We start from the raw sequence: 16,429 nt of genomic DNA, 5'->3' as shown, positions 1-16,429 counted from the left end.
AGGTCAGGAGATCGAGACCATCCTGGTCAACATGGTGAAACGCCATCTCTACTAAAATACAAAATTTAGCCAGGCATGATGGCACTCTCCTGTAGTCCCAGCTACTCGGGAGGCTGAGACAGGGGACTCACTTGAACCCGGGAGGTGGAGATTGCAGTGAGCTGAGATCATGCCACTGCACTCCAGTCTGGCAACAGAGCAAGACTCCGTCTCAAATAAATAAATAAATAAAACACACTGAAATGTGTTTAGAAAGACTTCAGGTGCTATACAACATACAGTACCTGGTATGAGAAGTCACTGAATAATAAGAATGTGGAAGGGTGACCAGATCACCAAGGTCTTTCTGGGTTTTTGAGAAACAAGGATGGACAATGCTTTTATTTTGTACTGGATTGTAAAATTTAATTTTAAAAATCTTGTTTTTTTTTTTTTTTTTTTTTTTTTGAGACAGAGTTTCACTCTTGTAGCCCAGGCTGGAGTGCAGTGGTGTGATCTTGGCTCACTGTAAACTCTGCCTGTCTCTTGGGTTCAAGCGATTCTCCTATCTCAGCCTCCCAAGTAGCTGGGATTACAGGTGCGTGCCACCACGTCTGGCTAATTTTGTATTTTTAGTAGAGATGGAGTTTCACCATGTTGGCCAGGCTGGTCTTGAACTCCTGACCTCAGGTGATCCGCCTGCCTCAGCCTCCCAAAGTGCTGAGATTACAGGCAGGAGTCACCATGCTCGGCCTTAAAAGATCTTGTTATTGGGGTAAAATATACATAATTTTTATCATCTTAACAATTGTAAGGGGATGATTAAGTGGCATTAAGTACCTTCATATTGTGCAACCATCACCACCATCCATCTTCAGAATTTTCCATTGTAAAACTGAACTGACATATTTAATAGAAGCATTACCCTCAAAGCTGCATCTAGCCATTAAGCAACATCTGAATGTAATAAGTTGAGTATTGGGGCAGAATAGGGAAGTGACCAGGACTTGTCTCTAGCCACAGATGACTCACTTACCTGTTTCAAATATGTGATTATGCTACGGCCCAGTTAATTCTTCTGGTCATGTTATATATAGCTGTATCCCTAGACTTCTCTAGCCTGAGATGATCAAGGAATGAATAAAGGGTGATGATGGGTCCTCTATGACCCGTTAAAAAACAAAGATTTGGGACTTTATTTCTGCCTAGGATGGAGGAAGCTGGAAAAAAGATTCATTCTCACATTAGTAACAAGAAAAACTGGATAATCTACAAAATCATAACTTTCCTTTAAATCATTAGAGGGCTGGGCTGGGTGCGGTGGCCTGTAATCCCAACACTTTGGGAGTCTGAGGCGGGCAGATCACTTGAGGTCAGGAGTTCGAGACCAGCCTGGCCAACATGGTGAAACTAAAAATACAAAAATTAGCCAGGCGTGGTGGCAGGTGCCTGTAATCCCAGCTACTTGGGAGGCTGAGGCAGAAGAATAGTTTGAGCCTGGGAGTCAGAGGTTGCAGTGAGCCAAGATCATGCCACTGCACTCCAGCTCGGGTGACAGAGTGAGACTTCGTCTCAAAAAAATAAAAAATAAAAAATAAAATAAAATCATTAGAGGGCTAAGATTGCAGGGCAAAAGTAGCCTGAACTCTAAGGATAGATGGGATGGCCCAAGGACAGCCACAATGCTAGCACTGGCTTATCTGGGACACAGCATGGAAGGATGATGGGGCCTCTGTATAACAGAGTAAGAATTCAACTAAAGTTTTTTCTTTGCTAGTTTTTGTTTGGTGTTTTTGTTTTGTTTTGTTTTGTTTTTGACAGGTCTCATTCTGTCACCGGGGCTGGAGTTGAGTGATGTAATCATGGCTTACTGCAGCCTTGACCACCTGGGCTCAAGCGATCCTCCCACCTGAGCCTCCCGAGTCTGAATTTTGCTAGTTGTACACTCATGCTTCATTCAGTTCAACATGTTCCACTGTCCTCTGAATCTCCTGCAATGTAGCAGGCAGCTGAACCCAGAGGCATAATCAGACTCATTTCTAATCTCTGTGGCAAAACTATAGGTGATGTTGAGCCCTTTCATTAGCAGGCATAAAATGTCTGGTTGTCTTTCTTTTTTTTTGAGACAAGGTCTTGCTCTGTCATCCAGGGTGGAGTGCAGTGGCACAATCACAGCTCACTGCAGCCTCAATCTGTTGGGCTTAAGTGATCCTCCCATCTCAGCCATGGGGGTAGCTGGGAATACAGGCACATGCCACAGCATCTGGCTAATTGAAACAATTTTTTTTTTTTTTTGTAGAGATGAGATCTCAGTATGCTACCCAGGCTGCTCTCGAACTCCTGAGCTCAAGCAATCCTCCCTCCTTGACCTCACAAAGTGGTAGGATTAGAGGCGTGAGCCACTGTGCCTGGTCTTTTTGTGATGTTAGAGCAATTGATGCACAAAATTCAAATTTATTGATCCACTGGGTATTGAAAAATATATGATCTTAATTATTAGAACACTAGAAAGAGATATGTCCTTCATCTGCCATTTAGTTACCCAGTTGTACTGTTCATAGAGGAAAGACAGGAAAATGCTTTTTTGCTTCAAGTTTTCAAGACAATGAATACTCCATCATCCTCCAAGGTGACCAATTATTCTTAATGTTTATGATGGGTTTTAGTAAATTGCAATTATCTTCTTTGAAGACCAAAGTTTCCCACATTTGCACAGTGGGGGCCCCTTTAAGCTGGCTCTTGAATCTTTTGGAAATTACCTAGCAGCCTTTGTTAACCTCTATTTTTATTTTGTTTTGTTTTGTTTTGTTTTTGAGATGGAGCTTCGCTCTTGTTGCCCAGGCTGGAGTGCAGTGGCGGGATCTCGGCTCACTGAAACCTCTGCCTCCTGGTTTCAAGTAAGTCTCCTGCTTCAGCCTCCCAAGTAGCTGGGATTACAGGCATGCGCCACCACGCCCGGCTAATTTTGTATTTTTAGTAGAGATGGAGTTTCACCATGTTGTCCAGGCTGGTCTTGAACTCCTGACCTCAGGTGATCCGCCCACCTTAGCCTCCCAAAGTCCTGGGATTACAGGCATGAGACACTGCACCCAGCCCCTCTATTTGTTGTGACAAGATGTCCTAGGCTTATCTTTTACACTTCCTGCCAGACTATTTTCCCCAAATTCTCGTTTTAATGAAAAAAACAAAAAGGTACTTTGAAACCACAAGCTGACGTGTTAAGCATCCTGATAGTTATGAATTTGTATTGAACATACTGGTACAAACTCATGAATGTGTATATTCACACATATCTACATGTATTCATATACATTCATGAGTTTATACCACTACGTCCAATTCAAATTCATAGCCATAGGTTTTTTTTTTTTGTTTTTTTTTATTTTTTTCAAAAAATTACATGTTCTGTATTCTCTATCTCCTTTTCCTCACATTAAAATCCCTGGTTCTAGGCTGGGTGCAGTGGCTTATGCCTGCAATCCCAGCACTCTGGGAGGCCAAGGTGGGTGGATCACCTGAGATTAAGAGACCAGCCTGGCCAACATGTTGAAACTCCATCTCTACTAAAAATACAAAAATGAAGCTGGGCATGGTGGCACACACCTGTAATCTCAGCTCCTTGGGAGGCTGAGGCAGAATTGCTTGAACCTGGGAGGCAGAGGTTGCAGTGAGCTGAGATTGTGACACAGCGAGACTCCATCTTGAAAAAAAAAAAAAAGGGACCCTGATTCTCAAGAAAACAGGATTTCAAATATCCTATAAATAGTAATTATTCTATTCCAGTCTACACACAGTCCCAAAATATCAGACTACCACCAGCTAAACCAAATGTTTTTGCATATGCTTTTACATACTATACTTTAACTCTTAAATTATATAAGCAACACATGCTTAATATTCACCACCAGTCTGTCACTATTTCTTTAGTCATTGTGGTTATCTGGAGCTCATTTTCTGATGTTCCTGATGAAGAGCTTAAGGGAACAACATTTCCCATTTCCCAAATTTGTCTATGTAGGATAAGTTTGTACCAGCCTTTTATGCTTATAACTTTATTAGATATGAAAACCTCAGCTCACATTTTTCTTTGGGTATCTCGAAAATGGTCAATCCATTTTCTTCAGGCATAAAGTATAATTGTGAAGAAAGTCTGATCACCATCTTTCATTTCACCTGGTTTTGCCTAGCCAAAAAGTTTTCTCCCTTTAAAGTATTATATTATTTATGTCCTGGTGTTAGCTGCTGCTTAGGTACCACAGTTCACTTTTAAAATATTGTTTTATATATTTAAATAAAACATTTTCTAAGATTATAGGGTTTTGTTGTTGTTTCAAATTCCTATTATCTGTATGTTGGGCCTTGTCATTTTCTAATTAAACAAAAATTGGGTTTTTTAAATTCCTTTTTATTTTTACCTCTTTTTAAAGGAATTATCCATAGTGTTTATATTGCATCTCTGGTATCTTTTTATTTCCAGTGTTTTCCTGAGTTTATCTTATTTCTGATTCTTGTAATCCTAAATTTGTCATATTTTATATCATTTTTCTAATATCTTTTAGCACATTTTAAACGAACTAGTTTTGCTCTGCTCTGTAGACCTTTCTGATAGATCTTCATTGCCCAGAAATCTTATCTTTGCTCTTTCTTTTCATTAAAATAACTTTGTATGAGATTCATCTAAAAACTTTCCTTAGTTTCTTAAGTAAATTCCATTTCCTAAACTTTGAGAAGGAAGCATGATTCACGGGAACTTCCCTGTTTCTTTCTAAGTGTTCAAAACCAGTATTCTGCTGAGAGATTTTGGTTGACTATCCCCTATTCTACTTGTATTTGGACCTTCTCTTCATCTTTCTCTTCTTCAATTTGGCTTCACCCCAGCAGTTTCTCTTCTGTGGGGAACGCTGTCCTGGAAGAGAACCTTGGTGAACTCAGCGAATCAGTTCTAACACTTTCTAGGGGCTAGCTTGCTTCAGTCCTTCAGACCTTAATACAAGCCTCTTGGACTCACCCACCTTTGAAATGGGCAAAGCCTCTCCCACTTGAGTGCTGTTTTCAACCTGGCCTGCTGTTTCTGTGATGACCCTGAGGTTCTGTTCTCAGGCCATTAGATGCCGTTTCCTCACTCTGCTTCACCTGAATTGATGCCAATGCCAGCTTGTGGTCTTGTGGCTATCTTCACCCACTTACGTTGCTCATGGATTTTTATTTTGCTATCCAGTTGCTATTATATGGTGATTTGGAGATTGAAAACTATGGCACTGCTGCCATCTGCCCTTTCTCCCACACTAGTTTTAAAGATTTCCAAAACCAATCCTATTTCCAGCCTTATTCTGCACCTCTGGCTTTAGAGGAATCTGGATATCTCCATTTGTCAAGCTTATTAGATTTTTACCTCTTCTAGTCTTCTGCCACTGACAATTATCATTTCTTTGTGAAATCACTTACCACTCATCCATCAGTTTCCTTGCCTGATGTCTCTTCTTCCATTCTATTAACCTTGTGGATTTGTCTTATTCCTTTTCTGTCATTTAAGTAGCATTTTTAGTGAGTGAGGGGATAAATATTTGAAGACAACGTTTGACTCACATTCCTAATTTATTTTATAACAGGAAACATGCATGGAGAATTCAAATCTGCTTTTGTTCTTTGGATTAGGTCTTTTCCAGATTGGGCCTTTTTGGGTTTTAATTTTGTAATAGCTTTAGTTAGCTTTTATTCCATTCTGATCTCATTTTCCTAGAGTCCTCTACCAAGTCTCACTCAAAAATATAAATACTTTGGCTCTCTTTCCTTTATCCTCTATATCACAAATACTTTTATAATTCCTTTAATTCCTGTCACTTCAGATCCTCACTTGTGCAGCTGGTTCTCTTTCCAGGTATCTGCCCATTTATTTGCAGAGTGTACGTGTCACAGACCTTGCAGCTTTAGTATCTTATGTAGTGTTTAGGGGACTAGTTTTAAATACATGTTAAGAAAGCTTTAGCCTATACTTCAAAATATATATATTAAAACTGAGGCTATTTTGAAGTTTAAAAATATTAATGATATAAGAAGTATTTCCTTTCATATGAGGCTGAAAATTTTCCTTCAGTGTCAACCTATAATCCAACCAAACCCTTCAGGGATAAGAGAGCACTGTCTCATTTGTGTAATGATCTTTAACCCTTCCAATTACCCCTCCCATCTCAACAACTTTATTTTCAATTCAACCCTGAAGGACAGATGGGAAAGGCAAGTGGAAAACTTTAAAGCCTGGAGAAACACAGTGATTTCCTCTAGGATTGTAGTTTCTCCATTTACTATCTTTCTACTTGACAACATTACAGAAATATTTAGAGTAGACTTTTATAAACTCCAGAGGATTTTCCCAATTAACACTAAAACCTCCAAAAACCTGTCAGAGATACAATTATTCTTCTATTTAGCTTCTTATAAAAATATAAAAAGCTGAGCAAAAAAACCACAACCCAATTATAAAGTTAATATACAAAATGTATTCTATTTTTAAAATGGCACAGAATGAGAAAAAATTCTTCATGCTGATAAGTGCCTCATTCCCAAACAGGGACTTCAAATTGATCAGATTCTCTTGCAGGCAAAAGCTTTGCAGCAGTCTGCATTTACTGGAATATTGCTCTTTGAACACGGCCACATTCAGGTTTGTTAAATATATCCTCTTCCGCTTCTGGAGTTAGTTGGATGTTATCTCTGACTGGGGACAGGGGTTTCTTACAAGGAGGAAGCTTTTCAGAATCTCTGCAAAATACAATAAAATACATTTGGTATTTTTAAGGTACTGATTATTAGAGAAGAAATATTCTACCTGGACAAAATAGAGGGACATGAAGAGGATAAGACCCTTTACTGTACGATCTCTTTCAATTCATTATATAACACAATCAGGTTCTCCTGTGAGCACTCCCAATACATTCTGAGTCTCACTTCTTAGTGCCTCTTCTTGCTTTCAAAATCACTATTCAGTGTAGGTGCTGGGCCACCACTAGATATATTAGCTAAGGCAGAATGATTCCAATACTTTAATTCTTTTCTCCTTAGTGCCCTTCTCAAGTCTGGTTAAGAACTAATATAAGTGAAGCAGGAACAAATGGTTAAGCCCTGGTTAAATCTTATTATTATTTTTTTTCTTTTTTGAGATGGTCTCGCTCTGTCACCCAGGCTGGAGTGCAGTGGCACGATCTTGGCTCACTGCAACCTCCACCTCCTGGGTTCAAGCGATTATCTTGCCTCAGCCCGAGTAGCTGGAACTACAGGCGTGCACCACCACACCTGGCTAATTTTTGTATTTTTACTACAGATGGGGTTTCACCATGCTGGCCAGGCTGGTCTCAAACTCCTGACCTCAAGTGATCTGCCTGCCTCAGCCTCCCAAAGTGCTGGGATTACAGGCGTGAGCCACTGTGCCTGGCCTAAGCCCTGTCTTTTATTCCCCTCTCGGTTGTTTTCTCTTTTTTCTTTTCTGGAAGGAAGCTATCTATAAAAATTAATCCTGTTATGAAGATATTACAGGTAATTCTATCTCCTGTCAACAAAAATTAAATACCAGTACATCTTTTTTTCTCAAAGGTATTTAAGAATACTGTTGCACCCTTAATTTCTGTCTAGCAACAGTTTTCAAAGCATGTTCCACAACCCCTGGAGAGTCCCAAGATCCTTTGAACGGTTTCCAAGACCAAAACTATTCTTACAATATTCAGACTTTGTTCATCCTTTCCACTGTGCTGACCCTTGCATGGATGTTGCTAAAGCAGAACAGAGTGAAACTGCTGACAACTCAGTGTGAATCAAGACAGTGGCATCACACCGTACGAGTCATACCAGGACTATTTGTATTCTCCACCTCTGCGCACTTGCAGTTAAAAAAAAGTCTCAAAAATGTTCTTGATGGAAGCAGTACAAATCATTAATTTTATTAAATCTCAACCCTTTGGTATACTTTACATTTTTTTTTAAATTTTTTTGAGACAAGGTCTCGTTCTGTTGCACTCTGGCTGGAGTGCAGTGCCGCAATCTCAGTTCACTGCAACCGCCACCTCCCGGGCTCAAGCAATTCTGCCACTTCAGCCTCCTGAGAAGCTGGGACTACGGCCACATGCCACCACGCTCAGCTAATTCTTTGGTATACTTTTTAATATTCTGTGACAAAATGGAAAGCACAAACAAAACACTTCTATTGTGTATGGAAGTATGATAGTTTACCTCAAGTAAAAGCATGTGTGACACTAAGGTCATTCAGGACTTCTCTAAAATTTGGAACAAAAAGGGGCCAGGCGTGGTGGCTCATGTCTGTAATCCCAGCACTTTGGGAGGTTGAAGCAGGTGGATCACTTGAGGTCAGGAGTTCAAAACCAGCCTGGCCAACACAGCGAAACCCGATCTCTACAAAAAATATAAAAATTAGTAAGGCATGGTGGCAGGCGCCTGTAATCCCACCTACTTAGGAGGCTGAGACAGGTGAATCACTTGAACCCAGGAGGCGGAGGCTGCAGTGAGCTGAGATTGTGCCACTGCACTCCAGCCTGGGTGACAAAGAGAGACTCTGTCTCAAAATAAATAAATAAATAAACAAACAAATAAAATGAGCAAAGAGAGCCTGTTACTTTAAAGAAAAACAACTAAGAGTATTTGTTGCTAATGATAAAATTCAAGCTTTCAAATGAAAATTAAAATTTTGGAAAACGTATCTGCCACACAACAGTTTTCCAATATTAAAGGCTTTGTTGATTGTGACTTTTTTCTTATATTGTATAATAAAATATATCAATATTTGGAAGTACATCTCAATTAACCAATATTTTCCAAAAGACCAACTCATGATGTTACATGTAAAAGATGCATTAAAAGTGCACCAGTGTAGGCCAGGCAAGGTGGCTCACACCTCACATAACAACTTAAATAATTAACTGGGGCTGGTGGCACAAGCCTGTAGTCCCAGCTACTCAAGAGGCTGAGGCAGGAGGACTGCCTGAGCTCAGGAGCTCGAGGGTACAGTGAGCCATGATTGTGCCATTCCAGCCTAGGCAACAGAAAAAAGGGACACCAGTGGACTGCAATAAAACACAGAGTACAAAAAGTCAGTTGATATGGTTTCATATTCTACACTATCACTGACCTAAAGAAACTACAAGTTGTTGGATTTAGACATAACAGCAAAGAAGAAAATTTACCACTATCTAAAAAGGCTATCAAAGTATATATTTTCTAACTACAAATATGTCTATTTCCTTCATATACTCAACCAAAACACCAAATCATAACAGATCAAATGTAGAAGCAGATACAAGAATCCGGCTGAGCTCTATTAAGCCAGACAGTAAAGATTTGCAAACTAGATAGTAAAGATTTGCAAAATGAAATGTAAAGCCATGCCACTTTTCTTACCTTTTGGGGGGATTTGGAAAATATAGCTATTTATTTTTTAAATGTACTATCTACATTCATGTAATAGGCTTATCATTATTTTAAAATAGATATTTTAAAATGTCTATTTCAATTTCTATGATGGTTAAGTGTTGACAAATATAACCTAAATAAACCAAAGTATTTTGGGGCCTTTAATAATTTCTAAGAGTATAAAGCATTCCTGAAAAGAAAAAGTTTGAAAACTGCTGTCATATGGTTTAATCCTAGACTTTACACAATGTAAAATAAGAAACGATTGTCCAGCACTTACTTATTTACAAAGTGTTTCCCACTCATACCGCCTCATCTATGACAATATTTCTACTAGGTAAGGTTTAATCCTATCATTCCATATAATTAAAAAAAACTTTTATTAAACAGCACATTTCTTTTATTGAGAACAAGAAAATAGCTATAAGGTAATGCTACTCTGTGGCTAATTTTGTGGTCTAACAGAAGGAAGTATTATGGTTAACAAAAATTTAACTATATAGAAGATGAATTCTTTTAAAACAGTGCTGGCCACATACACTGCAAATCTGGCAAATTCATCATATAAACTCAATGAGTCTCCCCATTTTAGATGTGATAAATTAGAGAAGTACGATATTGCACTGTGTTTCTACCCCTTCTTTAAAATTTTATTCTTGTCTGGGCGTGGTGGCTTACGCCTGTAATCCCAGCACTTGGGAGGCCGTGGCGGGTGGATCACCTGAGGTTGGGAGTTCGAGACTAGCCTGACCAACATGGAGAAACCTCGTGTCTATTAAAGATACAAAATTAGCCAGGCGTGGTGGTGCATGCCTGTAATCCCAGCTACTCGGGAGGCTGAGGCAGAAGAATTGCTTGAGCCCAGGTGGCGGAGGTTGCGGTGAGTGGAGATCGCACCATTGCATTCCAGCCTGGGTAACAAGAGCAAAACTCTCTCAAAAAAACAAAAAACAAAAAACAAAAAACAAAAAACCAAATAAAATTTTATTCTCTTTACAATCCTGAGAGATAAGAAAAGGAAGGCAGGAGACTTAAGGCCTAGGAAAGCAATTTGCTTCACATCAGAGAGACTCCAAAACCAGACTGAAAACTGGTTTTTAGTTTGCCATCTTTTTATGAAAAGAAGGTATAGAAATTGATATTAAGTATAAAGAGTTAGCTAAAGGGAAGAGAGAAAAATAATTATTTTATAGTGAGAGAAACAAAAACTCATACGAAACTAGGAAGAGTTGGGAGAAAGGGATGGAAATTACAGAAAATAACAGTTTATCTTGTTTCAGAATAAGAAACAAGGCAACTCACTTTTTAAATCCAAAGTTTTTCCAGAGCTCATTGAGTTTGATCTGTAACCCCGGCTTGTTCTCGGCATTATGATGCTTTCTCTTCTGGATGCTTGCCGGCTTCTTGCTCAGCCCACTGGCTCTGGCAGGTCCTAGAGGTTTGATCTTGGTTGTAGAAAGAGAGTCTGCAGAACTGGACTTATATAGCCCAGGAACCTGAAGATTAAACACCCATTTTAAGACCATTCTGTTAAAGCAACTAACTTTAATTTCAAGCTATTCTTTATTCTTTACTTATTTATTTATTTATTTATTTACTTTTTGAGATGGACTCTCACTCTGTCGCCCAGTCTGGAGTGCAGTGGTGCGATCTCGGCTCACTGCAAGCTCCACCTCCCGGGTTGACGCCATTCTCCTGCCTCAGCCTCCCGAGTAGCTGGGACTACAGGCACCCGCCACCACGCCTCGCTAATTTTTTATATTTTTAGTAGAGACGGCGTTTCACCGTTTTAGCCAGGATGGTCTCGATCTCCTGACCTTGTGATCTGCTCGCCTCAGCCTCCCAAAGCGCTGGGATTACAGGCATGAGCCACCACACACGGCCAAACTATTCTTTATACATAAGAACAAAATAACCCATGAGCAATGGTAAAAATGTGCTATTTATAAAAGTCTATTACAGAAGTCATCATAAATTATTTTAACAGGTAATATGTAAACCTGGCATAAAATTTAAAAGTTCTCTCTTTTGTAAAGGAACAGAGAGCAAAATGAATGTCTCTCGCTGCCTCCCTTTCCAGAGGCAATTGCTGCTCCCAGCTTCCTATGCATCCACTGACTTACGTGCACGTGCACACACACACACACACACACACACACACAGGCAGCATAGTACACATTGTTGTGCACTTCATTTTTCTCACTTAATATATCTTGATTCCTCTTAATGATGTAACTTAGAGATTTTTTTCAGTTCACAGGAAATAGAATTTTATTTTGAATAGGTTGCCTGTTCTTGCATTGTATATATATGCCATAACTTACTTAAACAAACCTCTATTGACATTTAGGCTGTTTCTACTAAGGGTTGATTTTTACCCTGTGGACAGAATGGAGACAATGAAGTTTTGTTATTGTTTCTTAAGATAGTAAGAATGAGGTATATTAAAAAAGGTTTACAATATGAATCTGGCAGTGTGTGTAGGAAGAATGAAAAAGTTAAAACAAAATAAAGGTTCACACAGTAAAGATGAAATCCTTAAATATGTGTTGTGATGGGGAAAAAGTGAGGGAGAAAAAAGAAGGCAAAGAAATAAACGTTAGAATTTGGAGAGGTATCGATGTTTGGTTGTTTTTCTCTAACTGCTGTAGAAGGATCAAACTGACAGTTATCAAGAAAAAGGACAACCTTAGGATTTTGAAACTAAGTGGCAGATAATATAATTTTATTTAATAGATAAAACAAAAAACGTTCCGAGAAGAAATAGAGGTAAAAGACACGAGTTTGATTTTAGGTATTAAAGATGGGTATCAGGGAGAGCTCACCTGAAGGGTCACCAAAACAGAAGTGGTAGTTAAATCCCTGACAATGCAAATGTCTGAGAATAATAATAATAATATGATGGTTTACTATCTAGACATAACTCCTTCAGGAAAAGTACTTTCTACATCTCCAGTTCTATCCATCATTGTAAATAATTCTGCATGTATCTTTCCAGACTTCTTAATAGGATGCCACAAACATGCAAATGTGTACATGAATATTTTAAAGTATTTAAACAAAAACACTATACATATTGTTAATAACATATTTTTCCTTTTCACTAATAATGAATGTCTTTTCAAGTTAGTAGATATGATTGCAAAAAACTTCTTGCTCAAAAATTTAAAAAATAATCTCATATTTACATATTTCATATTTGTATCTTTAATGTACTGGAATTTGCTGTGGACTGAATGTTGTGTCTCCCTCACATTCATATTGAAGTCCTAACCCCTTAACTCCTAATGTGATGGTGGGATTTTTGAGAGGTGATTAGATCATGAGAGTAGAGCCCTCATGAATGAGATTAGTGCCCTTAAGAAGAGGTACAAAAGAGATATTCTCTCCCTCTACCATGTAAGGACACAGCGAGAAGGCATCTGTCTGCAAACCAGGAAGTGGGCTCTCACTCAGACCTTGGACTTCCCAGCCTCTAGAACTGTGAGAAATAAATATTTATCATTTAAGCAAATCCAGTTTCTGGTATTCTGTTATAGCAACCCATATTGACTACAGTAGAATTTACATTTATATTGTGTGAGACTACATCTTCTTTCAAATGGATAGCCAGGGCCATTTATTAAAATTTTAAAAAGTAAGAAGTTTTTATGCTACTAGAAACATAATATATGCTCATGGTAGAAAAACACAAGAAAAAGAACAGAAAAAAATTCACCTATATTTCTACCAGTAAGAGCTAAAACCAATGATTATTTAATAACTCACTCCCTTATTGTTATTTAGGTTATTTCCAATTTTTCACTATTATAACCAATGCAGTATTAAGTATTCTTGTATTTAAATTCTCAATGTTTCCTTAGGCTAAAGTTCTAGAATGCACTTACTGGTTTAAATTATTTGAACTCTTTCAAATTTTTTTCTAGAAATGGCAGACCAATACTTACTTTTTAAAACATGTGATTATCTCACTATACTCTCATAAAAAATGAGTATAATTAAAAACATTTTTTTGAAATATGAAGAGGCAAGAAACTATTTTATTATTTTAATTTGCACTACTTGATTACTAATGAGGTTAAACATACGGTTAAACAAATGAGGTTAAACACATATTAATCAACCATTGGTACTTTTCCTTTTGTGACCTGTTTATGACCTTTATCCATCTTTTAAGTTAGGAAATGGTGTTTTTATACTGATGAACAAGAACATTTAATATATAAAATATGCTTTAATTCGTGCTTAATATATAAAATATGCTTTACTATGTAGTAACACAAATATTTATATATTTTGATTCAACAAACCTAGTTTATCATGGGTACACAGTTTCTAGAAGGCCTTTTGGCAGTATGTATCAATGTTAAATCATACATGCCTTGGGACCAGTAATACCACTCCATGCAATTCATCCTTACAAACTAATCAAGAACATGTCCTCAAATATTTATCCACAAGATCTTGGTTGCAGTATTATTTGCTAGAGCAAAAAAATTTAGGGTAAATGACAAAAATAAGGGGATTGACCAAACCTATACAACTGCATATTATAAAGTCATTACATTAATGACTAAAAGTACTTGGAAAGTGATCTTTCATATACACTGCAAGAGAAAATAAGTTTCACAACTTAAACACCTACAGTCAAGCATAAAGTTTTAAAGTAGACATTTTTATATAAATGAGACTACAGGTATTTTGATTTTTAATTCTGCTTGTATTTCTCATTTTCTAGTTGTAAGCATACACCGCTTCTGAAATTAAAAAAAAAATTAAATAAATGTTTTACCTTGTTCCTTAGAGGTGTGTCTTTTTTTGAGAAATGAGATAAACGTAGCTTGGAGGTCTGGTCACTTTGACTGTCAAGTAACTTAATATTGCAATCAGATTCCTAGAGTCCCCAGATCAAAAAATAAAATAAAATTAGATTTTTACTGTAGAATTTTTATGACAACAAACTAATATTCAACAAAATGGAAGATAAATAAGAACATGGGATAGAATTAATAAAAGAAAATGAATAATATGGAAAGGATGATATTTGCCAATTTCATTGAAGAAGCTAACAAGATGTTTCAGCTGGAGAGGTAAATTATATAAAATATCTATTTAAAATTAAAGTCTTTTCTGAACTGTTAGAAGAGGATGTTAAAATGCTGAGTCAGATAAAACAAGAGTCTCCTAATGTAAAAACGCTGCGTTACGCACGTGTGGTTAAGTTTTCATCTTACTAGCTAAAATAAGTTGAACTGGTGCAGCTCCATCCCTTCTTTTAATCATGTAACACGTTCAACTTTAAAAAGAAAAAAACGCATCCACTTTCAAGTGGAGTAGCATTGTATTAAATGCACTTCACCTTTAGCAATGACTTTCAGACCTTTCTGCCCCCAATTCTATCAGATAAGACTTCTCTATAGATGGAGAGTTCCCTTATAATCTGCATTCCCATGAAAGTCAAATAAAAGAGGACAGTAAGGCCAGGGGCGGTGGCTCATGCCTGTAATCCCAGCACTTTGGGAGGCCAAGGTGGGTGGGTAGATCACTTGAGGTCAGGAGTTCAAGACCAGCCTGGCCAACATGGTGAAATCCTGTCTCTACTAAAAATACAAAAATTAGCCGGGCATGGTGGCACATGCCTGTTGTCCCAGCTACTTGGGAGGCTGAGGTGGGAGAATCGCTTGAACCCGGGAGGTGGAGGTTGCAGTGAGCCGAGATTGTACCACTGCAATCCAGCCTAGGCAACAGAGCAGACTTAAAAAACAAAAAAACAAAACAAAACAAAAGAGCAATAAAAAACCCAATAGTGAAAAGCACTCCATTAACTTGTATTATACCTTACAGAAACTCTAACATTCTTTGCTCATAGCTAACAGTATTGGTGACTCTGGGCTAAATCACTTCCTGAAGATCACAAGGAAGGTCCTAAGAAGACTTCAACCTCAAATATGGTCAATGAACTCAACACAGAATCTATGGTTGTTGTTTTTCACAGTGAACTACCGACAGAAGGCTCAAATATTGAAGCATTTTCTTCTGAACTATAGGATAAAAACTGATATTCAAAATGATGCCCCAATGTTTCACAGCTTTCTGAAACATTTTCTCCATCAAAGAAAGATTATATGATTTTCATGTCAACTGTCAGCATCAGATTCTTTGAGAATTAACTATTCTAGTAGGAGTTTACTACATCTGGCAGCAAGAGAGAGGACTTAATGAATTATTCCTAGTTTTGTTCAGTTCGTTTATTTTCAGTGGGGCATGGCTAGGGGAGGAGGATTCACATTTCTATAACCATTAGTACATAAAAAAAGGTTAGCCCAGAAGACAAAATGTGGAGTTCTACCAGCCTACAGTGTGAACTGATAAGGCTTCTCAGGAAAACATGGCTAAACGCTTCCAAAGTAAATGAAATAGTAAGATGCATGCTGGAAATATAAAAAAGATAACCCCAAAGGAGCTCAGCAGACTTAATATCCTCACAAATTGACAGTGATGTTTTTATGAAAGATGTTCAAGATAGCCACTGCCGTGGTACCCAAGTGGCAGTAAGAGAAGATGCAGTATGAAGCAGAAATGAAAAAGACGAGATAAAGACGTTCATAGGAAGAGAAACAGACAGTCTTCTAGACCAGTATGCACACCTGTGTTACTGTTTTGTTTTGTCATAAGGAGAAATTTAGAAGGAATAAGAAGAGTAAATGAAAATATATTTCTGAAGTACTAAAACTTAAGATGAATACCATTGCATTAACAGGGTTATTTCCTTATAAGGTCTCTTTTTTTTTCTTTTTTTTTTTTTGAGACAGTCTTGCTCTGTCCCCCAGGCTGGAGTACAGTGGCTCAATCTCGGCTCACTGCAACCTCCGCCTCCCAGGTTCAAATAATTACCCTGCCTCAGCCTCCCGAATAGCTGGGATCACAGGTGCCCACCACCATGCCTGCCTAAGATTTTTGTATTTTTAGGAGAGACAGGGTTTCACCATGCTGGCCAGGCTGGTCTCAAACTCCTGACCTCAAGTGATCCGCTCGC

General features: G+C 38.0%; 1 protein-coding gene across 23 annotated transcripts in view, besides 3 other annotated features; it reads right to left on the bottom strand.

Annotated features, from left to right (window-relative positions):
- Positions 870 to 1,070: a silencer, noted in NCBI's record as "peak801 fragment used in MPRA reporter construct". NCBI's record gives its function as "represses an SCP1 promoter by STARR-seq MPRAs in K562 erythroleukemia cells {active_cell/tissue: K562}" and the evidence as "EXISTENCE:reporter gene assay evidence [ECO:0000049][PMID:32103011]".
- Positions 1,910 to 2,110: a silencer, noted in NCBI's record as "peak800 fragment used in MPRA reporter construct". NCBI's record gives its function as "represses an SCP1 promoter by STARR-seq MPRAs in K562 erythroleukemia cells {active_cell/tissue: K562}" and the evidence as "EXISTENCE:reporter gene assay evidence [ECO:0000049][PMID:32103011]".
- Positions 2,410 to 2,610: a silencer, noted in NCBI's record as "peak799 fragment used in MPRA reporter construct". NCBI's record gives its function as "represses an SCP1 promoter by STARR-seq MPRAs in K562 erythroleukemia cells {active_cell/tissue: K562}" and the evidence as "EXISTENCE:reporter gene assay evidence [ECO:0000049][PMID:32103011]".
- Positions 6,264 to 16,429, bottom strand: part of EXO1 (exonuclease 1) — a 41,954-nt gene continuing 31,788 nt past the window's right edge. For 22 of the 23 annotated variants that reach the window (XM_047434104.1, XM_047434112.1, XM_047434106.1 and 19 more), the window contains 3 exons: positions 14,186 to 14,287; positions 10,696 to 10,889; positions 6,264 to 6,738 (listed from right to left, as the gene is read on the bottom strand). In XM_047434104.1, the coding sequence (XP_047290060.1) occupies positions 6,603 to 6,738; positions 10,696 to 10,889; positions 14,186 to 14,287 (432 nt within the window). In that variant the 3' untranslated portion in view covers positions 6,264 to 6,602. The remainder of the gene's footprint in view (positions 6,739 to 10,695; positions 10,890 to 14,185; positions 14,288 to 16,429) is intronic. The other variant, NM_003686.4, reaches the window with a different exon arrangement.

The sequence above is a fragment of the Homo sapiens genome, chromosome 1, assembly GCF_000001405.40.
Source record: "Homo sapiens chromosome 1, GRCh38.p14 Primary Assembly".
Classification (NCBI taxonomy): domain Eukaryota; kingdom Metazoa; phylum Chordata; class Mammalia; order Primates; family Hominidae; genus Homo; species Homo sapiens.
This window is presented reverse-complemented; position numbering and strand designations above follow the sequence as displayed.